This window comes from Homo sapiens, chromosome 1 (assembly GCF_000001405.40).
Source record: "Homo sapiens chromosome 1, GRCh38.p14 Primary Assembly".
In the NCBI taxonomy this organism is placed as follows: Eukaryota; Metazoa; Chordata; class Mammalia; order Primates; family Hominidae; genus Homo; species Homo sapiens.
In genome coordinates this window covers 247,369,249-247,394,319 of record NC_000001.11, presented here as the reverse complement: position 1 = coordinate 247,394,319, position 25,071 = coordinate 247,369,249, and the positions used below count along the sequence as shown (strand labels likewise).

The window sequence follows — 25,071 nt, the reverse complement described above, 5'->3', positions numbered from 1 at the left end:
TGCCCCACTAAAATTCATGTGTTGAAATCCCCAGTGTGATGGTATTAGGAGGTGAGAACTTTGGGAAGTAATTAGCTCACAAGAATGGAGCCCTCTTGAATGGTATTAGTGTCCTTATAGGAAGAGGCCAGAGAGCTCTCTTGCCTCTTTCTGCCATGTGAGGATACAACAAAAAGTTGGCAGTCTGCAACTTGGAAGACAGCCCTCACCAGAGCCTGACCATGCTGGAGCTCTGATCTTGGTTTTCCAGCCTCCAGAACTGTGACAAATAAATTTCTGTTGTTGATAAGCTACCCAGTCTGTGGACCTTGTTATAGCAGCCCAAATGGACTGAGACACCATTTAAAGAACAAAAGAGCAAAACTCCCAAATGGAAAGCTTAATATGTGATTAAGCATTAAAAAATGCAATTCTTATTAGTAACCTGAGAGGAAAGCAAGCTAGATATTCAATATGCTTTAAGTTAGATATTCAATATGCTTTAATTTTTTTGAAATGGTAAATGACAAACAAAAAGTATCATCTACATATTGCAAAAGGGGCTGACACTATCTTAAAATATGTGAAAGTTAAGCTTGAGTTGTACAATTTGGGGGCAAATGTGACTGGGCACTGGGTGTTAGGTGAAGTGATCTATGGCCAACCAGCTGGCTTCTGACAGCAGGGGTGTTAGGGAGGAACCCCTGCCTTAGATTGCCCCAGGTTCTCAGCTCTTGTTCAGCATTTTCTTTCCAGAAAATAGGTCCTTTTATTCCATGTAAAAATTGCAAAGGTTTAAATTCACATAAATTATAAATGGATCCATCAGCACCATCTCTGAGGACAGATGTAGTCAAAAAGAAAGACGGTGTTTTCTGTTTGGAAGAAGAATCACGGCAGATGCAGAGCAGAGCTTAGACAGTGGAGCATGCAGAGGAGCTCTCTTGGCTTCCATCATCTTGCTTCTGGTCAGCCTTGATGAGAGGTAGAGTCCTGGAGCTGGAGGTGGATGTACAGGGAACAATCATAAAAGAGGAGGGAAGGGAGGATGCTTGCCTATTCCCAGGATCAAAAGTAGACATGTAGGCCAGGCATGGTGGCTCATACCTGTAATCCCAACACCCCGAGAGGCTGAGGCAGGAAGATCACTTGAGGCCAGGAGTTTGAGACCAGTCTGGGCAACATAACAACAGTCTGTCTCTACAAAAAATATATATATATTTAAAAAACAAATTAGCTGGGCATGGTGGCATGGACTTGTAGTCCCAAGCTACACAGGAGGCTGAGGCAGAAGGATCTCTTGAGCCCAGGAGTTCAAGGTTACAGTGAGCCATGATTGTGCCACTGCACTCCAGCCTGGGTAACAGTGTGAGACCCTGTCTCAAAAAAAAAAAGCAAGCATCTGCTCCTTTAAGATGCAGTAGACAGACCAGGCCGTGGTGACTCATGACTGTAATCCCAGCACTTTGAGAGGCTGAGGCAGGAGGATAACTTGAAGCCAAGAGTTCAAGACCAGCCTGGGCAATATAGTGGGACCTCTGTTTCTCCAAAAAAAAAAAAAAAATGCAGTAGATAAGAAGTCTCAGACTAGATGAATGCTCACTCAGTCTAAAGGCATTCACCAAGACACCATTGTGGGTGAGGCACAGAGAAGCTTTGTGTCCTCAGAAGGCCTCTCACACTCCGATACTTAAACTCACCTTCACACAGGTTCTTTCTACCATACAGCTGTAAGCACAGGTCCATGTCCAGGCCATGCTGCCTACAGTGTAGCATGTCTAAGATTCTTTTTCATAGTCCTGTAACTATTTTGTTCAAAGTACAATATTGTTGCAAGACATTTCCAAGTGTGATAGAATGTTAAAAAGGAAAAAAAAGTCCAGACTTTAATGTTACAGTGAACTGTGACAAAGATTCCCTCCTCTACCAAACTTCAGTCAGACTCCTCGGAATCTTCTCCTCAACCAGGCCTTGTCCTTGGCCCCCATCCTCTCATCAACCTGCCTAGCCCAGTTTTAGCAAGAATCCTGCTAAGTCATTCCCCACATTGATATCTGACTATTCTCATATCTGATTGGGTTGCTCATCCCTCACAATCCCCCAGGTGATATCTGATCACCCTGGCCTGTCTTCAGCAAGAATCCTGTTAGATCACTTTAGCAAGAATATCCCTACCCTTGTTAAGGAAAAATTATTCAATGGTACTTATTAAAGGATGGGAGGGCTGACTTTGTTCTGGACCCTTGTGATAAGTGTAGGTAACATGGCAGTGGGATCTAGCGGTGGGAGAGAGGTTGGGTCGGACTCCAAATACAACAAGGAAGAGGGGGTATTTATAACCAAAGAGAAGGGTGGGGGTCAGTAGATAAAAAATTACGAAGAGGAAATATCAGGGGTAAGGGGGTTCTGGTTGAACTGGCCTAACATACTCTTGCTGAAGGCAGGCCGGGGTAATTGAACATTGCCTGGGGGATAATGAAAAATAAGGAACCCAATCTGCCATTGAGGAGTCAGATACCAAGGATGAGGATATTCTTGTTAAACTGACTTAGCAGGATTCTTGTTAAAGCTGGATTTTATAAGGAAATGCACAGATGGGTCTAGGAGAAGGTTCAGGAGCCTGACTAAAGTTCTGTTAGGCCAGGTTCAGGAGTCTGATTAAAGTCTAACAGAATCTTTTTCACCTTTACTATATCCTCTTAGTAATCTCTGTCCACTGACTCCCAACCTGTTCCCTAGCCATAAATCCCAACGTTCCCTTGTTGCATTCAGGGTTGAGTCCATTCTCTCTGCTCTATTACAATACCCCTGCTGGAATCGTGCTAAATAAAGTCTCTGTTACCATTTCAAAAAGCATCGGAATATTTTTTTGAGAAGGGTCTCACTCTGCCACCCAGGCTGGAATGCAGTCGTGATTGATTATGGTTCACAGCCTCGACCTCCCCAGGTTCAAGCGATCTTCCAACCTCAACCTCCCAGGCTGCTGGGACTACAAGTGCACATCACAACCCACCTGGCTAATATTTGTACTTTTTGTAGAGACAGGGTTTTGCCATATTGCCCCAGGCTGGTCTTGAACTCCTTGGCTCAAGTGACATACCCGCCTTGGCCTCCCAAAGTGCTAGGATTACAGGTGTGAACCACTGCACCTGGACAGAGTATTTTTTCCTTTAATGATGACTGTGGCTGGGTGTGGTGGCTAATGCTTGTAATTCTAGTGCTTGTGGGAGGCTGAGAAGGGAGGATTGTTTGAGGCCAGGAGTTTGCGATTAGGCTGGCCACACCACACATAGCAAGACCGTATCTCTACAAAAACATGTTTAAAAAATTAGCCAAGCATGGTAGTGTGCACCTGTAGTCCCAGCTACTCAGGAGGCTGAGACAGAAGGATCTCTTGAGCCCAGGAGTTCGAGGCTGCAGTAAGCTATAATTGTGCCACTGCCCTCCAGGCTGGGTAACAGAACGAGACCCCCAATTCAAATAATAATAATAAAACAATGGCTGTCACTCAAGCTCCTGATGGTATAACATCAAAAGTCCCAGAGTGAAATCATTTTGCAAAAAAAAAAAAAACCCCAAACTTCCAAATTTTTCATTAGTCAAGTATTTTCATCACTGTCTTTTTTGTGCTCACAGAAATAAGCATATCATTGCTCAGTGTACTGGAATCTTGAGTTTTCTGTAAAAGGAAGTGTATTCGATGTAAACATTTAAAACACACCAGAGTTTCGTAACTCTGCTTTGTCATTTCTTTTTTTTTTTTTTTAATATACTGAGCTTCTAAAGATAAAAATAAGAAAGAAAACGGAAGTAGCCTGAAACTGCTGTTGCAATGTTTTTCCTAACCACACTGAGCTCGACTCTTTTCAGGAGCCCGACTCCAGCTGCTGCTGCAGCACATCTTGAGCTGGGGCATCCCCGCGTCTTAGACCTGACCTCGCTCTCTCCCCCTGGGACTGTATATGTAGCCCAGAGGCCTGGCCTTGGCTCACCTGCTTAACTGAGAGGAGAGTCCCTCATTTTGCTCCACTGGAGGTTCCTGCTACTCTCTTCTGCCCTCTGCTGGTCCTGGGTGTTAGTGACAATCATCCCTCTGCCCTCCCCAGGTTAAGAAGAGGAAGGAGGGAGAGCGGAGGACTGCGGAGCAGCACCAGCGGATGGAGAAAGCTAATTGCTGTAAAAAAGAGTACATGATTGGCGTCCCCGAAGTTTCCAGGACAGAAGTGAAGGGTGGGATATTGGGGAAAGACGGGGCTTGCTTGCATGAAACCTAATATAAAGAGGTGCTGGTATAAATGGAATGTCCGTGTCTCTGCCAAATTCATATGTTGAAATCTTAACCCCCCAGATGAGGGTATTAAGAGATGAGGCTTTGGAGAGGTGATTAGGTCATGTGAGTGGAGCCCCCTGAAGGGAGAATTAGTGCCCTTATAAAAGGGGCCACAGAGCAATCCCTTGTCCATTCCACCATGTGAGATTATAGCTAAGGAACATATATGGCCATCAGTAGCACAGAAAACGGGTCCTCACCAGACACCAGACCAGCCCAGACACCAGACCTGCTGGTGTCTTGATCTTGGAGTTCCCAGCCTTTAGAGCTGTGAGAAATAGATTTCTGTTGGGCCAGGTGTAGTACCTCACTCCTGTAATCCCAAATCTTTGGGAGGGCAAGGCAGGAGAATCACTTGAGGCCAGAAGTTTGAGACCAGTCTGGCAAAATAGAGAGACCTCATCTCTACAAAAAATTAAAAGTTAGCTGGGTATGGTGGCTTGTGCTTGGAGTCCCAGCTCCTTGGGAGGCTGAGGCAGGAGGACTACTTCAGCCCAGGAGTTTGAGGTTGTGGTGAGCTATGATCAATCATATTACAGTCCAACCTGGGTGTCAGAATGAGACCCTGTCTCAAAAAACAAACAAAAAAAAATCCTGTTGTTTATAAGCCACCCAGTCCATGGCAGTTTGTTACGCACTGAAACACAGGAGGTGGGGAAGAATGAGTCGAGGAGGACACAGGTGGGAGTGAGTCTTGCATACAGTTGTTACTCTGAACTTACGTAAGAATTCTCGTTTTCTCGTTTGGTTGTAGAATCAGTCAGTCTTGAAATCGAGATTCTATAGGTCAGCAGGAGCAACTCCCTTTCCTGATTGTGACCAGGAAGGGAAGAAGGGAAGGCTTCGCTCCCACACTCCTGCTCATCAGCTTCCCTGGACATTAAGGCCCAGCAATCCTGCCTGGGAGGCTGCGAGAACGAGACTGTTTTGTTGGGAAGTTGGACCAAAGACTCCTCATGGGCCCATCCAGCTCTGAACATCTAGAAATCCAGGGACATGGACAGAGAGTTCTTCCCCACCCTTTCACAGGGTTGTGACATGGCCTCCCAGTGTGCTCTCAGGTTCTTCTGTCTCTTGAGGTCAAGGGCCCTGGCAAAACCCTTTACTTGGACAGAGCAACTGTGGAAGTTAATCTTATGTGTCAACTTGACTGGGAAGAGATGTCAAGAGAAGTGGTAAAACATTATTATTAGGTGTGTCTGTAAGGGTGAGTCTGGAAGAGGTTAGCGTTTCTATCAGACTAGGTAAGGAAGATCCGCCCTCACCCACGCGGGCAGGCATCGTTCCATCCGTTGAGGAGCCGAACAGAAGAGTGGAGGAAAGGCACATTCTCTCGGAGCTGGGACATTCACCTTCTCCTGTCCTCGGACATCAGTGCTCCTGCTTCTGAAACCACCTTTGCAAAATTAATGACTGAAACAGCAAAAGAGATCTAACTTCACTGACTCCTTCTTGCTTCTAACCTCCAAGCTGCCCTTGTTCATTCCTGGGCATAAGCTGAACTAACTTTGGGAGAAACTTAGTTTATAGTTTACCTTTTTTTTTTTTTTTTTTGAGGCAGAGTCTCACTCTGTCGCCCAGGCTGGAGTGCAGTGGCGTGATCTCGGCTCACTGCAACCTCCACCTCCTGGGTTCCCACCATTCTCCTGCCTCAGCCTCCCGAGTAGCTGGGACTACAGGTGCCCAACAGCACACCCAGCTAATTTTTTGTATTTTTAGTAGAGACAGGGTTTCACCGTGTTAGCCAGGATGTTCTCGATCTCCTGACGTCGTGATCCACCCACCTCGGCCTCCCAAAGTGCTGGGATTACAGGCGTGAGCCACTGTGCCCGGCCTATAGTTTAAAACAAAGACCATAGTTTAAAACAAAGCCCTTTCCCAAAGCAGACCTCCTTCTTGCCTGGGGACTAGGTTGTCTTTGTAGGATTAACATTAGCCACAAGATTAGAAATCATAGTTTAAGAGACATGCAGCTGGAGGCTACAAGATTCTGACCCTCCCTAAACTGCTCCTAAGATCAGTGGCTTGAGATGTTTTGCAGACCTTGCACTTAATGGATCAGCTGGCATCATGCAGATTAATTAAGTGGCTCACCTGATCTTGTGGCCCCCACCCAGGAACTGACTCAGTGCAAGAGGACAGCTTCAATTCCCTATGATTTAATCTCTGACCAATCAGCACTCCTGGCTCACTGGCTTCCTCACACCCACCAAGCTGTCCTTAAAAACTCTGCTGCCCAAATGTTTGGGGAGACTGATTTGAGTAACAACGAAACTCCGTTCCCCTGCACAGCTGGCTCTGCGTGAATTACACTTTCTCCACTGCAATTCCTCTATCTTGCTAAATCGGCTCTATCCAGGCACTGGGCAAGGTGAGCCCATTGGGCAGTTACACTTCTCCAGCCTTCAAGCTCAGACTCAATTCCCCGACTGGCTTTCCTGGCTCTCTAGCCTGCGGAGAGCAGGTGGTGGAGTTTCTCAGTTTCCAGAATCGTGTGAGCTGATTCCCATAATCAATCTCATATACTATGTGTATCCTATGGATTCTGTTTCTCTGAAGAACCCCCCAAAATATAGCACACAATCCTAATTTTTCCTACCACTCACTCCCCAGCAACATTTTAATTTGGCCAAGTTCTCTGTTGCTTATAGCAGAACACAAAAGCACCAAACAGCAAAACAGGGAAGCAGGAATCTCTCTCCTTTGAGACCCAGAGCGCCACGCTGTGGAACAATTAGCTGTGTGGGGGCCCTCCCCTCCCTTCACCCTCACAAGTCAGACTCGCTTATAAACCCACCAGCCAAGTTAGGCCATCTTCACCTGTCCAGATCTGGAGATACTAGAAATCATCTTATCTCATATCCTTCCTTTAGGTAAAGGATACACTGAGACCCAGAGAGGCCGGCTTGCTGTGGGTTTAAAACACTCTTACTTCTAGGGCAGGGGTTCTCAAATGATTTGGTTCAAGGCCCCATTACACTCTTGAAAATGAGGACTCCAGGGGGCTTTCATGTGGGGATTATATCTGTTGATATTTACTGTATCAGAAGCCAAAACAGAAAAATTGTTAAAAAGTCTGAGAAGAGTAGCACTGACTTACAGTTTGCACATCTTACTCATGTCTGACTCAGCAGAAAGCAGCTGGAGTCTCTAATACTTCTGCATCTTTAGTCTACTGCAATATCACAGAGCATTAGCCTGTTGAAAATTCCAGTCTAAGCCGGGCACAGTGGCTCATGCCTGTAGTCCCAGCACTTTGGAGGGCTGCGGTGGGAAGATCGCTTGAGCTCAGGAGTTTGAACCAGCCTCAGCAACATAAAGAGACCCTGTTTCTACAAAAACTTAAAAATTAGTTGGGCGTGGTGATGCACACCTGTGGTTCCAGCAACTCAGGAGGCTGAGATGGGAGGGTTGCTTGAGGCTGGGAAGTTGAGGCTGCAGAGAGCCATGATCATGCCATGGAACTTCAGTCTGGGGAGTGAAGTGAGACCCTGTCAAAAAAAAGAAAGAGAAGAAGGGAAGAAGGGGAAAAGTAAATTCTAGTCTACACTTGTGAGAGTGAAAACAGTGTCATAGTATGATTATGAAAATAGTTTTGACCTTGCAGATCCCCTGAAAGATCTCAGGAGTTCCATGGGGATCCCCCGACCACACAGTGAGAACTATAGGTATAGAATAAGCAAGAGCATGTCTGGAGTCCTTGTCTCCTAAATCTCCATCTGCTACCTTTATTTCTTATTTTATTTCTTGCTTATTTTTATTTACTTGTTTATTTGTCTTGAGATGGAGTCTTGCTCTGTCACCAGGCTGGAGTGCAGTGGTGCCATCTCGGCTCACTGCAACCTCCACCTCCCGGGTTCAAGCAATTCTTGTGCCTCAGCCTCCAGAGTAGCTGGGATTACAGGTGTGCGCCACCACACCTGGCTAATTTTTGTATTTTTAGTAGAGACAGGGTTTCACCATGTTAGCTAGGCTGGTCTTAAACTCCTGACCTCAAATGATCCACCCACGTCAGCCTCCCAAAGTGCTGGGATTACAGGTGTGGGCCATCACGCCTGGCCTATTTTTTATTTTTATATACTAATTGTGGAGAATCCCTGGGTTTGTTTTTTTCCATCTTTCTTTTTTAATTTTTTTTGAGATGGGTCTTGCTACATTGCCCAGGCTAGACTCAAATGCCTGGGCTCAAGCAATCCTGCTGCCTCAGCCTCCTGAGTAGCTTCAATTACAGGTACATGCCAACACACTTGGCTCCATCTGCTGCCTTCCTATCTTACGGCAGTATTCTACATTACGCTGTCTCTTACCTGTATTGAAATCATGTATCCCATACACGTATACAATTACAATTTGTCAATTAAAAATTATATTAATTTTGAAAAACAATATGTAAAAGTTAACCCCGCAAAAATCAAATTTTTTTAGGACTTTAAAATAAAATCTGGAGAATAGCTAACATATTCTGTCAGGGCTGTCAGACTAAAAAGAGAAGTGCATGAGTCACTTCAAAACAATGGTTACTTTTCTCTTCAGAGAAATTGAACTAGAATTATAAAAGACTCATTCAAATGTTGTCATGGGCAGCAAAAAAAAAATAACAACAGTGATTTCCAGTCAAAGCCCCACGTGGACACATGAAATCACATTTGCAAAATTATGACTGAGACAGTGAACGAGATTTAACTTAACTGACTTTATCTTGCTTCTAATCTCCAAGGGGTCCTTGTTCATTCCTGGAGGTAGGCTGAACTAACTTTGGGGAAAACTTAGTGTATAGTTTATAGTTTAAACAAAGATGGTAACAGCCCTTTTCCAAACAGCCCTTTTCCTTCTTGCCTGGGGAATAGATTGACATTGTAGGACTAACATTAGCCAGAATATCAGAAATTATGGTTTAGGAGTCATGCAGCTGGAGGCTACAGAATCTTGACACTCCCTAAACTGCTTCTAAAATCAATGCTTGAGATATTTTGTAGACCCTGCACTTGATGGCAACACCCAGATAAAAAACCTGGCTCATCTGATCTTGTGGCCCCCACTCAGGAACTGACTGAATTCAAGAAAACAACTCTGACTCCCTAAGATTTTATCTCTGACCAATCAGCACTCCTGGCTCACTGGCTTCCCCCCACCGACCAAGTTATCCTTAAAAACTCTGCTCCCTGAATGCTCAGGGAGACTCATCTGAGTAATAATAAAACTCTGGTCTCCCACACAGCTGGCTCTGCGTGAATTACTCTTTCTCTACTGCAATTCCCCTGTTTTAATAAATCTGCTCTATCTAAGTGGTGGGCAAGGTGAACCCCCTGGACAGTTACAAATTTGGTAGCTCGTCCGGGATTGCCCTTGTGACTACCTGCCCATGGTTCAGTGGCAGCCCTCTAGCAATGGATCCAGAAGCCTGCCCAAGCAGCTGCCTAGTTCTCTTGGACTGGAGGCTGACCCTGATACTCTCACTACTGGTGGGGCACTGCTGACCCAATGTGCATGGATTTAATTGCAGTGGAGAAATAGTCACGGGGAGACATCCCTTAACTGTAGCCCTATCATGGGGTGTCTGTCTGTAGCCCCATGGTGGGGTGTCTGTCTGTAACCCCATTGCAGGTTGTCTAATCCAGATTGGTTAGTATCCTATGCACTGCCAATGCCTCCTTCCTTCTCCTGACTGGTTCTGTAGCCCTGTGGTGGGATGTCTATTTGTAGCTCCATCATGGGATGTCTGTGTCTGTAGCCCCATTGGAGGGTGTCTGTTCAGCTCCTGGGGAGTCTTGGTTGGCTCCTTCTAACTAGTAGGAAGACTTCTGGTTTGGGAGACTTCTTCTCAATTAGGAAGATTTTGAGGAGGTTTCTCAGAAGGAGAATAGAAAGATAGTTTGGAAGGGATACTCCTGGAGGTCTTGGTTAGGGATCTAATTGGGAAGGCCTGTGTCCTCTCATCTTTGTGTGTGTTTGTATATGTGGAAGGGATCTCAGAAGAGGTTACTGATGGAAGTCCAGCAGACCTAACTCAAAACCCTCCTTATTTGTCTGGTCACATTTGATGAGCCCTAGAGAAGGCTCAACAGGCCTGTCTCGGGGTGACTATCTGCTCTTCGTCTTGCCGAGAGACCCCATTGTGAATTACTATTCTAAGGTCATCCCTCCCCACCTGGAGTGGATCAAAGACAACAGGGACCAACGGGAAAAAGTTTTTGAGCTTTGCCAGGCTGATATTGGGTGCTGAACGAGGTGGCTAATGTGTGTTTTGTTATGTGTGTTTTGCTGGGATGGAAAATGTTAATTTGGTTCCCCATGCAGCCTGTTGGGCAGCATCTTGCCAATTAAGAATCTTGTCTGTGGTTCCGTAAAGCTCAGGAAAGGGTGATTTTCTCTTGTAAAGTGGCTTGATTCCCACAGCCATGGTGCAGTGAGCAGGGTCATTAGAAACCACTCTGTTCTGGAAGCTGCAGAGAAGGGGAGCCAGGAAGCCTAGTATGCTGGCAAAAAGGGTAAGAAATTCTTACCAGCCAAGTTTCTGGTCTCTCTCTCTCTCTTTCGCTGTCTGGGTAAACAGTAAACGTCACTATTTGTCTCTCTGCAAGCGTTTGATTAATAGAAAAAGGATTTGTGAAACTAGTTTTAGGTGGTAGCAAATCTGGTGTACTTTGTGCTAAGAATTTGTCTTTCTGTGTTCTGTAATGGAGAAAGGAGTATCACAGGATAGAACGTGGGTTCAGGACCCACTTTCAAGCCCACTTTTCAAGCCAGCCTGGCAGGCTGTTCAGCTGCAAACTGCTATGGGTCCCTGAAACCAATAGCAGATGAAATTTCTCTGTCTTGTTTTGTGTCCTTAAGAGCTTAACCTTGTGACCATGTGGGGATACTTTCTCCTGGTTTCTGCCATCTAGAAGACAGGAACTTGGGGATTCATGTCATAGTCAGCCCTAAACATTTTCTTGAGCAGCTAAAAACCTTTGCAACTTTTAAACTGGCTTCTCTAGGCTCCTTCTGGGAAGAGCAATAGAAACTGCTCAATGCTGTAACTCAGTGGCCAGGGCTTTGTCTTTTGACAATGGCAGCCTGGGTTCTAATTTTTTTTTTCTTTTTTTTTTTTTGAGACGGAGTTTCACTCTTGTTGCCCAGGCTGGATTGCAATGGCACCATGTCATCTCACCTCAACCTCCGCCTCCTGGGTTCAAGCAATTCTCCTGCCTCAGCCTCCTGAGTAGCTGAGATTACAGGCATGCGCCACCACGCCTGGCTAATTTTTTTATATTTTTAGTAGAGACGGGGTTTCTCCATGTTGGTCAGGCTGGTGTTGAACTCCCAACCTCAGGTGATTCACCCACCTCGGCCTCCCAAAGTGCTGGGATTACAGGCGTGAGCCACCGTGCCGGCCTGAGCCTGGGTTCTATTCTTGGCTTCTGGAATGATTCCCTTCTGGTTTTTTTACTTATGTAACTTTGCCATTTGTTGAGGTTTCCCCCCACCATGGATAGCTTCTGATTTCCTGTCTTGAAGTTTTATTTCTCTAAAATACCCTAGGGGAAATTCTAAATCTTGTAAAAAAAAAAAAAAAAAAAAAAAGAAACTGCTTACCATCTCTTTGAGACACTCACGTTTCCATGGTTAAGTTATATCCTTAATTAAAACTTATTAATTTCATGTGGAAAGTTACCTATGGAATTCAAAAGCCAAAAATATTGGCCACTTGGCATGGCTAAAGTTGGGTAATAAAAAATTTAAAAGAATTTTTTTTAAAAAAGCACCATAGTTAAAAGTCAGCTTAATTAAAAGTGGATAAACAAGCTAGAAGTTTATTTATTTATTTATTTTATTGTTGAGATGGAGTCTCACTCTGTCACCCAGGCTGGAGTGCAATGGCAAGATTTAAGCTTACTGCAACCTCCGCCTCCCAGGCTCAAGCAGATTCTCCTGCCTCAGCCTCCTGAGTAGCTGGGATTACAGGCGTGCGCCACCACTCCTGGCTAATTTTTGTATTTTTAGTAGAGACAGGATTTCAACATGTTGACGAGGCTGGTCTTGAACTCCTGGCCTCCTGATTTGCCCACCTCGGCCTCCCAAAGTGCTGGGATTACAGGTGTGAGCCCCATGCCCGGTGCTATAAATATATTTAAAAGCCCTTTATGTTTTTCTCTCCTTGGATCTTGTTTTTCCTGGAAAAAGTTTTTTTTTCTTCTCAGCTGACTGAATTATTTTCCTCCATTTTTTTTGTCTTGCCAATCTTAATGCACACATGAGAGGCCCTGAGATGACTTCTGGTAGCCTGGGACTTCTTGGGAAAAACAGGAAGCACCACCAACCCCATTTTGGAAGAAAAAAAAAAAAGCTCTGTTTTCCACATAGAACCCTAGCAATTAAAAGCAGATAAATCCCTCTCAAAATCAAAGGCTCTGTTCTGTTTTGCATTGCGTTATCTAATGGTTTTGAGTTTCAGGCGTATCAGAAATTACTTCCCTTTATTTGAAAACACTTGGTGTCTAATAACTAGGTAGGAGATATACTTTAGTGCATGGCTAATAGCAGTTATGGAAGAATACCTGATTGTTCGCATACTTGGATTAGAGAAGCATGCTCTTGGCCACCTGGAGGATGTGGAAACACCCCCAGCCCCACTGAGAGATAAGACTCTTATGGGGAATGGTCCAATTACAAAATGGGCTGATTGGCTTTGGTTTGCCTTGCAATGAAACGCAGGGTAGCAGCACTGCACTGTCTTCTCCTGTAGTAGTTCCCTCCTTTTGGGGATGGAGAACCCAGTTTAAAATGGCACCCTTAATTCTGGGGATCTGTCTTTGCCTTCAGCTGCTTATTTGCTGCTTACTTGGCCCTAGATATGCATGCTTTCCTGGCCCTGTTCCTCCAAGGGCTCCACCCTGAAGCCAGTAATCCAATTAAGAAACTGGCAAATGAAAATTTTACAAGTGTTAAATCTTCTCTCCAGGGCCGGGCATGGTGGCTCACACCTGTAATTCCAGCACTTTGGGAGACTGAGGCAGGAGGATCACGAGGTCAGGAGTTTGAGACTACCCTAGCCAATATAGTGAAACCCCGTCTCTCCTAAAAATACAAAAATTAGCCAGGTGTGGTGACGCACGTCTGTAATCCCAGCTACTCAGGAGGCTGACGCAGGAGAATCGCTTGAACCCGAGAGACGGAGGTTGCAGTGAGCCAAGATCATGCTATTGCACTCCAGCCTGGACAACAAGAGGAAAACTCCATCTCAAAGAAATAAAAAATAAATAAATAAATAAATTAGGAGAATTAAAAATTGTGGCTGGGCCAGGTGCAGTGGCTCACACCTGTAATCCCAGCACTGGTGGGGACTGAGGCAGGAGGATCACTTGAGCCTGGGCAACAACTGAGAACTTCTCTCTACAAAAAATTTCAAAAATGGACCTGGTGTGGTGTCATGTGCCTGTAGTCCTAGCTACTTGAGAGACTGAGGTGGGAAGATTGCTTGAGCCCAGGGTTTGGGGCTTCAGTTCACTAGAGATGATTGCATCCACCATTGCACTCTAGGCATGGCAACAAAGCAAGACCCCGCCCTCTAACTCAAAAAAAGTTGCAGTTAGACAAGAAGGATAAATGATAAGTATTTAAGGTGATGAATACAGTAATTAGCTTGATTCAATAATTACACACTGTATACATATAGTAACATCACTGTGTACCCCATAATTATATATGGTTATATAATTAAAATTTGTCAAAAAATAAAAATAAAATTTTAAAATTAAAAAAAGTTAAAGGTTGAAAGGAGGAAAACTACTTTTATGAAATCGAACAAAAATATGAAATGCCACCTAGACATTTACTTAACAAGAAATGTGCAAGATCTATATGAAGAAATGTTTTAAGTACTGAGAGTCACCAAAGAAAGCTTGAACAAAGGCTGAGATAAACCATGCCCTAGGCTAAGAAGTCTCATGTATTAGACTGTTCTTGCCTTGCTCTAAAGAAATACCTGAGACTGGCTAATTGATAAAGAAAAGACGTATAATTGGCTCACGGTCCTGCAGGCTGTACAGGAGGCATACTGCTGGCATCTGCTTAGCTTCTGGGGAAGCCTCAGGAAATTTACAATCATGACAGAAGTCAAAGGGGGAGCACACACACCATATGGCCAAAGCAGGAGCAAGAAAGTGTGAGGGGGAGGTGCCACACACTTTTAAATGACCAGACCTCATGAAAACTCAGGATCTCGAAGACAGTACCGAGGGGATGGTGTCAAACCATTTATCAGAACTCCTCCCCCATGATCCAATCATCTCTCACCAGGCCCCACCTCCAATATCGGGGATTACAATTCAACAGGAGATTTGGTAGGGACACAGATCCAAACCATATCAGCTCAGTCCCAGAAATCTGATATTTCTCCCCCAGTTAATCTAAATAGTTAACATAGTTGGGGGAGAAAAGGGAGAACTACACAGAATAATGTGAGAAAAGCCAGAAAACTCTGAAAAGGAAGTGTAAAGATGAAAAAGTAATCCCTGCAGATATTAAAATATTTTAGAAACTAGAGTTGGCGGCGGGGTGCGGTGGCTCACGCCTGTAACCCCAGCACTATGGAGGCCAAGGCAGGCGGATCACCTGAGGTCAGGAGTTCGAAACCAGCCTGGCCAAAATGAGAAAACCCTGTCTCTACTAAAAATACAAAAATTAGCTGGGTGTGGTGGCGCGTGCCTGTAATCCCAGCTACTCAGGGGCTGAGGCGGGACAAGTGTTTGAACCCGGGAGGTTGCAGTGAGCCAAGATCGTGCCACTGCACTCCAGTCTGAGGGACAGGGTGAGACGCTGTCTCAAAAAAAAAAAAAAAGAAAAGAAAAAAGAAAAAAAAGAAACCAGAGTTGGCTTTTGGAGGCAGGACAAGAAGGGCTTGCTCCTCGGCGGCCATTGTGTTTTTGTGCGCTCTTGGATGGGGTTATGTCCCACATTGTATTTGTTTATGTCTGGCCCCCAACTAGTCCATGGCCTCGGGTCCATGGGCCCCAGTATATTCATCTCTGCGTACCCAGTGCCCAGATTGCTTGACACACAAAGGGAGCTCAGGGAATGACGCAAGGAGCAACACCTGCATCGCACGACCTTCCTCCTCCCTCCGTGAAGGGACACGTGTGTGGGGCGAGCAGCGCAGCCAGGTCATGACCTTCCTCTCCCTCCCTGAAGGGACACGTGTGCGGGGAGGGCGGGGAGAGCAGCTCGTGGCCAGGTTGGCCGCACGTGATGCTAGCGTGCTCTTTACTCTCCAGGTTTCGGGTGTCTATGTTATACCTCCAAATGTTGAAATTATTCATATCAGTAAGGTTCTCCATTCACATTGCAAGTGTTCTGTTTGCTTTATGCGAAGGTGTTCTCCCATCAGCTCCCTTACCACTGCCATAACAAGAGCCAAGCTGCCGACATCCCTTCCCTGACAGAGGGTGCTTTTGTACTTCTCAGCTCCTGTCCAAGAGCCTCAGGATGATAGACAGCCTCCTCTGTTCTCCTGGAAACACCCCTCCACCTCCAAATCTGTCAGTCATGGTGCCTGGAACCACCCAGAGCCATCTGTTGTCCCTGTTAAAATAATCACGTTACTGGAAGTTTGGTTTCTTCTGAGGCCTCTCCCCTTTACTGGTAGATGGCCACCCTCTTGCTGTGTCCTCACATGCTCTTCCCTCAATATGTGTCTGTCCTAATCCACGCCTCTTATATGCACACTCACAGGGCACCCTACATACAGTTGCCTCCTTGTCCCGTCTCTTCCAGGGATCAGCACCATGCTTTGCAAATAGGTGCACAATCAATGCCTATCAGATTTATATGCACTAGTTAAAATGAACTTGATTCATTTTTCTTGATAATGTTAATTCAATCCTTATGAAAAATTATGTCCAAGAGGTATGCAAGGCACTTTGTAAACATCACCCTACTTAATTCTCTGAACTGGCTTTGTCAGAGGCATGCGAACCAGAACTACTCCATCTCGAATGGGCTGGGTAAAATGAGGCTGAGGCCTACTTGGCTGCATTCCTAGATGGTTAAGGCATTCTAAGTCACAGGATGAGATAGGAGGTCGGCACAAGATACAGGTCATAAAGACCTTGCTGATAAAACAGTTTGCAGTAAAGGAGCCGGCCAAATCCCACTAAACCCAAGATGGCTATGAGAGTGACCTCTGGTCGTCCTCACTGCTACACTCCCGCCGGCACCATGACAGTTTACAAATGCCATGGCAATGTCAGGAAGTTACCCTATATGGTCTAAAAAGGGGAGGCATGAATAATCCACCCCTTGTTTAGCATATAATCAAGAAATAACCGTAAAAATGGGCAACCCACAGCCCTCAGGGCTGCTCTGTCTATGGAGTAGCCATTCTTTTGTTCCTTTACTTTCCTAAAAAACTTGCTTTCACTTTACTCTATGGACTCACCCTGAATTATTTCTTGCGCGAGATCCAATAACCCTCACTTGGGGTCTGGACAGAGACCGCTTTCCTGTAACAGTTTTACTCACAACACATCTGACACCAAACCTGTGGGTTTTTTTCTTCTACACAGCAGGCACCAACTAGGTATCCTACAATTCAATTCTGACATGTCTACCTGGAGCTAGAGTGAAATCCCACAGGTTATGGGCTTGGTCCCACAAAACTGCCCCCACTTCATGGAAGTTCCAGGTTTGTTAACCAGCACTTTTGACTGACCAGCTATAAATTCAAGGGTTCCCACACACAATCCCTCTATCTCAGGTTTGGTAAATCAAGAGAATGGGCTCACAAAACTCAGGAAAGTGCTTTACTTCCTGTTACCAGTTTATTATTATAAACAGCACAACTCAGCAACAGCCAGATGAAAGACACAGACAGGACAAGGTATGCGAGGCAGAGTCAGCGCTTCCACACCTTCACCAGGCACAACACCCTCCCAGCACACGAATGTGCTCCTGAACCCAGCAGCTCTCCAAACCTTTTCTTTAGGTTTCTTATGGTTCCATTATTTAAGCATGAATGATCAAATCACTGGTCATTGGCGATTAAACTCAATCTCCAGCCCCTGTTCTTTCCCTGGAAGTCACGGACTGGAGCTGAAAGTTGCAAGGCAAAGTTGATTCCCCTGGCAACCAGCCCTCATCCTCCAGGAGTCACCTCATTAGCATAAACACAGGCATGGATGAAAGGGGCTCGTTAGGAATAACAAAAGATTTCCTCTTGCCCCTATCAGTCAGGGAATTCCAAGGGGTTTAGAAGCCTCCATCAGGAAACAGGGACAAAGACCAAATATCTAATTCTTATTATCACAGATCCTCACAGCCATCCTGTCTGGCGTGTACCGTTAACAACGTCCTCATTCTATCGATGATGTAACTGGTAGATAATAATCACCACATGAATTATAGCATTTTTTAAAATTATACTTTAAGTTCTAGGGTACGTGTGCACAACGTGCAGGTTTGTTACATATGTATACATAAACCATCATTCTGAGCAAACTATCGCAAGGACAGCATTTGTTATATATAAACAACAGTTCTGTAAATTATAGATCGTACTCTACATTGCAATATATATAATCACACATGTACTATGTATAAGGTATTATCATATAACCTAAAAGAAGTAGACATCAGTACTTGTTATTGCATTGTATATTATGTATACTAAATTATTTCTAAAATAACCCTGTGTGGTGAGAACTACTTGATCCTTATTTGATGAGTGAGGAAACAGTGCTAAGAGAAATTACATAACATGCACATACCCACTAGTATGTATGTCTCCTAAAGAAATTCGGATTCATGCTCACAGTGATACGTGTACAAGGGTCCTCAGTGAGGAACTGTTTGCAGCACCAAGAGAGTAAAAACTGCAAAGGGGGAATCATATCAGTGTAACCGCCCAGTGGCTTCACCTTGCTGCTGCCTGGACAGAGCCGATTTCTCAAGAGAGCGGAATTGCAATAGAGAAAGAGTAATTCACGCAGAGCCGACTGTGCAGGAGACAACAGTTTCATTATTACTCAAATCACTCTCCCTGAGCATTCGGGCAGCAGAGTTTTTAAGAACAACTTGGTGGGTGTGGGGAAGCCAGTGAGCCAGGCGTGCGACTGGTCAGAGCTGAAATCCTAGGGAGTCGGAGCTGTCCTCTTGTGCTTACTCTGCTTCTGGTGGGGACGCGGGACCGGCTGGCGAGTCCAAGTGCAGCCATCAGTTGTCAGAAGTGCAAAAGCCTGAAAACACATCTCAAAAGGCCATTCTCAGGTGCTACAGTAGCGATGTTCTTTGCAGGAGTAATTAGGCAAGTTGCAAATCTTGTGTCCTCTGGAATAATGGCCGGTAATTACGCTTACGGCTCAGTAGAATTCAGGCCCCTGTCATCCTCCTAACTTGGCGGCCTTTCATTAGTTTTACCAGGGCAGTTTAGTTTTGGGGAAGGGCTGTTATCATTTAAACCATAAACTAAATTTCTCCCGAACTTAGCGTGGCCTGTAACCACCCAGTGGGTTCACCTTGCTGGCTGCCTAGATGGAGCCGATTTATCATGACAGGAGAACTGCAGTAGAGAAAGAGTAATTCGCGCAGAGCCGGCTGTGCAGGAGCCTTGTTTTATTATTACTCAAATCAGTCTCCTCAAGCATTTGGAGATCAGAGGTTTTAAGGACAATTTGGTGGGTGAGGGGAAGCCAGTGTGTCAGGAGTGCTGATTGATTCGGTAGGACATTAAATCATAGGGAATTGAAGTTGTCTTCTTGCACTGAGTCAGTTCCTGGGTGGGGGCCACAAGATCACATGAGCCAGTTTATCCATCTGGGTGGTGCCAGCTGATCCATTAAGTGCAGGGTCTGTAAAACATCTCAAGCACTGAGCGGTTTAGGGAGGGTCACAATCTTAGAGCCTCCAGCTGCATGACTCCTAAACTATAATTTCTGATCTTGTGGCTAATTTGTTAATCCTACAAAGGCAGTCTAGTCCCCAGTCAGGAAGGATGTTTGTTTTGAGAAAGGGCTGTTATCGTCTTATCGTCTTTGTTTTAAACTATAAATTAAGTTCCTCCCAAAGTTAGTTCAGCCTACACCCAGGAATGAACAAGGACAGCTTGGAGGTTAGAAGCAAGATGGAGTTGGTTAGGTCAAGTCTCTTTTGCTGTCTCAGTTACGATTTTGCAATGGCAGTTTCAGGCCCATGCTTAGGAATGAGCTAAGAGAGCCAGCCTGTGAGGCTAAAAGCAACATGGAGTCAGCCATGTCAGGTTTCTCTGACTGTCTCAGTGATAATTTTGCAATGGTGGTTTCATCCGCACATCTACGCTGCATCTGACGTGTTGCTAAGTGAAGAAAGCTGTGTGCCACATACATGTATCTCCTCATCCAACTGAAATTTTTTAAAAATTGTTTTAATTTTTGTGCAGATAATACAGACATGTACCCCACCACACACAATGTAAACTGCAAAAGCAAAAAACCGAGATGCCTCGTCCACAGTTCAACCCTCTGCGAACAGAGCCATCCTGGATAAAAGGTATGCCTCCAAAATATCTAAATATAGATAAAGATATATCGAGAGGGAAATAATGATATATAAGCGCCCATTCACATTTGTGTGTGTGCGCCTGTGTATCAACAAATAACACACATGTACCGAAGTGTTATGGTTTATTTCCTTCTCACAACCAACTCTAAACAAAGCCATGATACTGCCCAAAGTCAGCAAGACGGAGGCCAACCAGCTGGCTGGCCTCCTTTAGGAGCTTCAAACTTTTCAATCCCAAATTCAATAGGAAGAAGGAAGAAGAAATAATGAGGAAGAGGGAGGAATACGGAGGCGGGGAGGGGGCAGAGGAGAAAGAAAAGGCAGAAACAGAAAAGAGGGAACAATGTCCCGTACCTTGCTTTGCTCCTGCAAAGTAAAGGCCACCTGAGGAGGGTCGGGGTGAATCCTTCACATGGGTGGACAGAAAAGCGAACACTTTCCACCAGAGGGCGCGGGAAAGGGGCCTCAGACTTGCTCGGCTGAAACCCAACCTTGTAAGAAAAAACAGAAAAGGCGCTCAGTGCTGGTCCCAGCACCCAGTGTGCGCTGGCTGCAGGCACCGGGTGGGCCTGAGCGGCTGCGGGGCTCGGTGCCCTGGGCTCGCACCGGGGGTTGGCGAGGGGCGCGGGGCGCGGGGCGCGGGGAAGCCTCTGCAGGGCTGGTCGCTTTCACACTCCCAGTAACATAGACTGGGGCGCTGGGGAAGCTGTTAAAGAAGCCAGGCTTCGAGATGTAACACGCCCCGATTCGTTTCATTTTTTCTTTTTTTTTTTTTTCTTTGAGACGGAGTCTCACCCGGTTGCCCAGGCTGGAGTGCAGTGGCGCGATCTCGGCTCACTGCAACCTTCGCCCCCGGGCTCAAGCGATTCTCCTGCCTCAGCTTCGGGAGTAGCTGGGATTACAGGCGCGCGCCACCACGCCCGGCTAAATATATATATATATATATTTTTTTTTTTTTTTTTTTTTTTTTTTTTTGAGATGGAGTCTCGCTATGTCGCCCAGGCTGGAGTGCAATGGCACTATCTCAGCTCACTGCAACCTCCGCCTCCTGGGTTCAAGCGATTCTCCTGCCTCAGCCTCCTGAGTAGCTGCGATTACAGGCACATGCCACCACACCCGGCTAATTTTTTTTGTATTTTTAGTAGAGATGGGGTTTCACCATGTGGGTCAGGCTGGTCTTGAACTCCTGACCTCGTGATCCGCCCACCTCGGCCTCCCAAAGTACTGGGATTATAGGCGTGAGCCACCACGCCCGGCCTAATTTTTGTATTTTTAGTAGAGACAGGGTTTCACCATTTTGGCCAGGCTGGTCTCGAACTCCTGACCTCAGGTGATTCGCCCGCCTAGGCTGGGATTACAGGCGTGAGCCACCGCGCCCGGCATATTTTTTTTGTACTGTCAGTAGAGATGGGGCTTCACCATGTTGCCCAGGCTGGTCTCAAACTCCTAAATTCGAGTGACCCGCCCGCCTCGCCCCCTGCAGTGCTGGATTACAGGCGTGAGCCTCAGTGCCCGGGTTTCCCATTCATTTTCTAGCTGGACACGGAAGGATGTGACCGAGACGCTGACGGCGTCCGTACTGTCCTCGGCGCCCTCTGGTGGTCACAGCCAAGTACAACTTGCGGAACAATTCAGCTCCAGCTAAATTTGGCAGTGCCAGGGATGGGTCTATCACTCTTCTGGGAGGAAAACGCATGACCTTGCAATTTGTTTTAAGAACGACCATAGTGGGCTGAGCGCAGCGGCTCACGCCTGTAATCCCAGCACTTTGGGAGGCCGAGGCGGGCGGATCACGAGGTTAGGAGTTTGAGACCAGCCTGGCCAACATGGTAAAACCCCGTCTCTACTAAAAATACAAAAATTAGCCGGGTGTGGTGGCGCGCGCCTGTAATCCCAGCTACTCGGGAGGCTGAGGCAGGAGCACTGCTTGAAGCCGGGAGGCGGAGGTTGCAGTCAGCTGAGATTGTGCCATTGTACTCCAGCTCTGGGCGACAAAAACGAACAAACAACAACAAACAAACAAACAAAACGACAGGAGCGACCGGATCACAGGCTCAGGCCTGCGATCTCAGTACTTTGGGAGGCCAAGGCGGGTGGATCACACGAGGCCAGGAACATGCGAATCGCTTGAACCCAGGAGGTGGGGGTTACAGTGAGCCAAGATCGCGCCACTGCACCCCAGCCTGGGCAACTAAGCGAGACCGTGTCTCAAAAAACAAACAAAAAAAAAACAGGGCCTGTGCCTCTCCACGGTCACCCTTTACTAAATGTGCATGTGCGTGTTCCCACTAGTCCCGGGAATGGACGCCACGTCTCCGCAGCACCTGCACGGCTGGAATACCGCAGAATTGTGACAGGCATTGGAACCAGAGCAATTCCATCTTGAACATGGGCTGGGTAAATTGAGGCTGAGACCTGGAAGGCTGCACTCCCAGACAGTTAAGGCTTTCTAAGTCACAGGATGAGATAGGGGGTAGGCACACGATACAGGTCATAAAGACCTTGCTAATAAAACAGGTTGCAGTAAAAAAGCCGGACAAATCCTACCAAAACCAAGATGGCCACGAGAGTGACCTCTGGTTGTCCTCCTTGCTACACTCCCGCCAGCGCCATGACAGTTTACAAACGCCATGGCAACCTCAGGAAGTCACCCGGTATGGTCCAAAAAGGGGAGACATGAATAATCCACCCCTCGTTTAGCATATCATCAAGAAATAATCATCAAAATGGGCAGGCAGCAGCCCTTGGGGCTGCTCTGTCTGTGGAGAAGCCAATCTTTATTCCTTTACTTTCTTGATAAACTTGCTTTCACTTTACAGAGTCACCCTAATTCTTTCTTGTGCGAGATCCAAAAACCCTCTCTTAGGGTCTGGATTGGGACCCCTTTCCAGTAACAGAAGCACAAATACGGTTTTGTCGCCCACATTCTAGGGCTTCTGGATGTGCAAATACGGCTTTTCCCCCCGCATTCTAGGGCTTCTGGATGTGCAAATACGGCTTTTTCCCCCGCATTCTAGGGCTTCTGGATGTGCATTCTGGGCAGGCCTTAGATTCCAGGGTTAGCCACTGCAGTGACTGCTCAAGATCACTCCTTGGCCCCAGGCCAGACAGGGTGCAGAGGATGACTGTCCCAGGATGGATCACCCCAGAATCCCCAGTAGCAGCACATTACTTGTAAAAAACATTCTTTTCAGGATTTGTCCCACTCGAGACACTTTAATTTTAGAATAGGCTACACGACTGCTAATGAGTAGTAAGAGCAGACACTGTGCTTGGAGCCATAATAAACCCTCCTCCACTGGGAGTGCATCTTCACTTTCCCATTCCTGGAGGTGAGAAGAGAGAGTAGCTGAGAACATTCTGAGTTATGTAAGGCATACAACATTTATTTATTTATTTATTTTGAGACAGAGTCTTGCTCTGTGACCTAGGCTGGAGCGCAGTGATGTAATCGAGGCTCTCTGCAGCCCCTGCCTCCCGGGTTCAAACAATTCCCCGGGAGGCATACAAAATTTATCAGGCTCAGAGAGACAGCAGTATGGGGGGGCGGGGGCAAGGCGGGGGCAGTTGTTTAAAGGCATTTTGTTCCTGACTAGCTGCATCACCTATTATCTCCATGTTGCTAGCGTTTGTGATACAAAGAAAAATGTATAGCTAACCAATAGCTTATGTTATTTTAATGTAAATTTTTTATAAACAGCTGAGGAACTGCCTCTTTCATCCTTTAAAAACTCACTTGCAACTGCTGCTAATTGGAGGATATATTCAGAGCAACTTGAATCTATCTCTCCCGGCTTACAGTCCTCAAACTTGGCCCAAATAAACTCCACTTATATTAATTTTGCCTCAGTTTCTTCTTTAATCAACAAAGGGAAGGGAAGTGCCTAAGGGAAGTGGGGCTGCCTAAGAATGCTCAAAGCAAGCCCACCACTGAGGTCTGGGCAGAGAGTGATACTTCAGGCTTTACTGCTCCTCTCAACCTGGGAAATTTTCCTTTTGTTTTGCATTAAAATACAGTGGGGGCAACCAAACTCCCTCGATGAAAAAACGGATAAGGACAATTTGAAAAACACAAATAACTGAATACTCATTCAGCTTTTAAAAGACGAAATTGGCCAGGCGCGGTGGCTCACACCTATAATCCCAGCACTTTGGGAGCCCAAGGCGGGTGGATCACAAGGTCAGGAGATCGAGACCATCCTGGCTAACACGGTGAAACCCCGTCTCTACTAAAAATACAAAAAATTAGCCGGGCGTGGTGGCGGGCGCCTGTAGTCCCAGGTACTCAGAGGTTGAGGCAGGAGAATGTCGTGAACCCGGGAGGCGGAGCTTGCAGTGAGCCGAGATCGCACCACTGCACTCCAGCCTGGGCGACAGAGCCAGACTCTGTCTCAAAAAAAAAAAATTCAAAATTTTGTTATATGGACAATAGGGATAAATCTTGAGGACACTATGCCAAGTGAAATAACCAAGTAACAAAAGAGATACTGGGCCAGGTACGGTGGCTCACACCTGTAATCCCAGCACTTTGGGAGGTCCAGGCAGAAGGATCACGAGATCAGGAGATGGAGACCATCCTGGCCAACATGGTGAAACCCCGTCTCTACTAAAAATACAAAAATTAGCTGGGCGTAATGGCGCATGCCTGCAGTCCCAGCTACTCAGAAGGCTGAGGCAGGAGAATCACTTGAACCAGGGAGTCGGAGGTTGCAGTGAGTGGAGATCGCGCCACTGCACTCTAGCCTGGCGACAAAGGGAGACTCCGTCTTAAAAAAAAAAAAAAAAAGCCAGTGGCACAGTAATCATTCTCCTACAATTACCCATGCTATGTGAGTTAAAATAAAATTTTGTATGCTTATCTCCCTGTTAATCTGCCTATTGTCAGTTGATTTTGCAGCAAAACTTCAGAGAGTGAAGCAGCTTTCTCTTGGCCCCTACAGATTTGGCGCTGTGAGCAGGATCACCAAAACTGTTTAGCTCTTCTGAAGCCAGGAGTCCAAGGAACCTGGGGCCTGACAGGCCAGCAGAAGGGGAAGAATTTGGGAGTAGTTAGATTCTTGGCATCTGTAAAAAGTAAAGTAGAGGTTCCTCTTCAAAGACTTTCCTCCCCATCTAATTAGGAATAAATAGTAACTTCTATTAGAAGCAAAATTTATTCAAAGACCTGTGCTAACATTCTTAAATATCTGCTAGCCGTAATAAAGAAATCAATGTTCTTTATGTTCTTAGCTCCCACAATTTAGCCTAAA

At 46.0% G+C, this 25,071-nt stretch overlaps 2 long non-coding RNA genes across 4 annotated transcripts in view, besides 2 other annotated features; both read right to left on the bottom strand.

Moving 5' to 3' along the window:
* Positions 1-457: 457 nt before the first annotated feature.
* Positions 458-4,544, bottom strand: LOC107985375 (uncharacterized). Its single transcript, XR_001738574.1, has 2 exons — positions 3,972-4,544; positions 458-978 (listed from the first exon to the last, which is right to left on the bottom strand). It is a non-coding gene; the product is annotated as an uncharacterized LOC107985375 (long non-coding RNA).
* Positions 1,197-1,479: a silencer, noted in NCBI's record as "fragment chr1:247556143-247556425 (GRCh37/hg19 assembly coordinates)". NCBI's record gives its function as "represses an EF-1alpha promoter that drives an FKBP-Casp9 reporter gene in an ReSE screen in HepG2 liver carcinoma cells {active_cell/tissue: HepG2}" and the evidence as "EXISTENCE:reporter gene assay evidence [ECO:0000049][PMID:32094911]".
* A 12,543-nt stretch (positions 4,545-17,087) lies between the features above and the next one.
* Positions 17,088-25,071, bottom strand: part of ZNF496-DT (ZNF496 divergent transcript) — a 45,179-nt gene continuing 37,195 nt past the window's right edge. For all 3 annotated transcript variants that reach the window (NR_168399.1, NR_168396.1, NR_168397.1), the window contains 2 exons: positions 20,177-20,313; positions 17,088-19,663 (listed from right to left, as the gene is read on the bottom strand). This is a non-coding gene — a long non-coding RNA (ZNF496 divergent transcript). The remainder of the gene's footprint in view (positions 19,664-20,176; positions 20,314-25,071) is intronic.
* Positions 20,379-20,428: a silencer, noted in NCBI's record as "silent region_2047". NCBI's record gives its function as "represses an Ori minimal core promoter by ATAC-STARR-seq in GM12878 lymphoblastoid cells {active_cell/tissue: GM12878}" and the evidence as "EXISTENCE:reporter gene assay evidence [ECO:0000049][PMID:35858748]".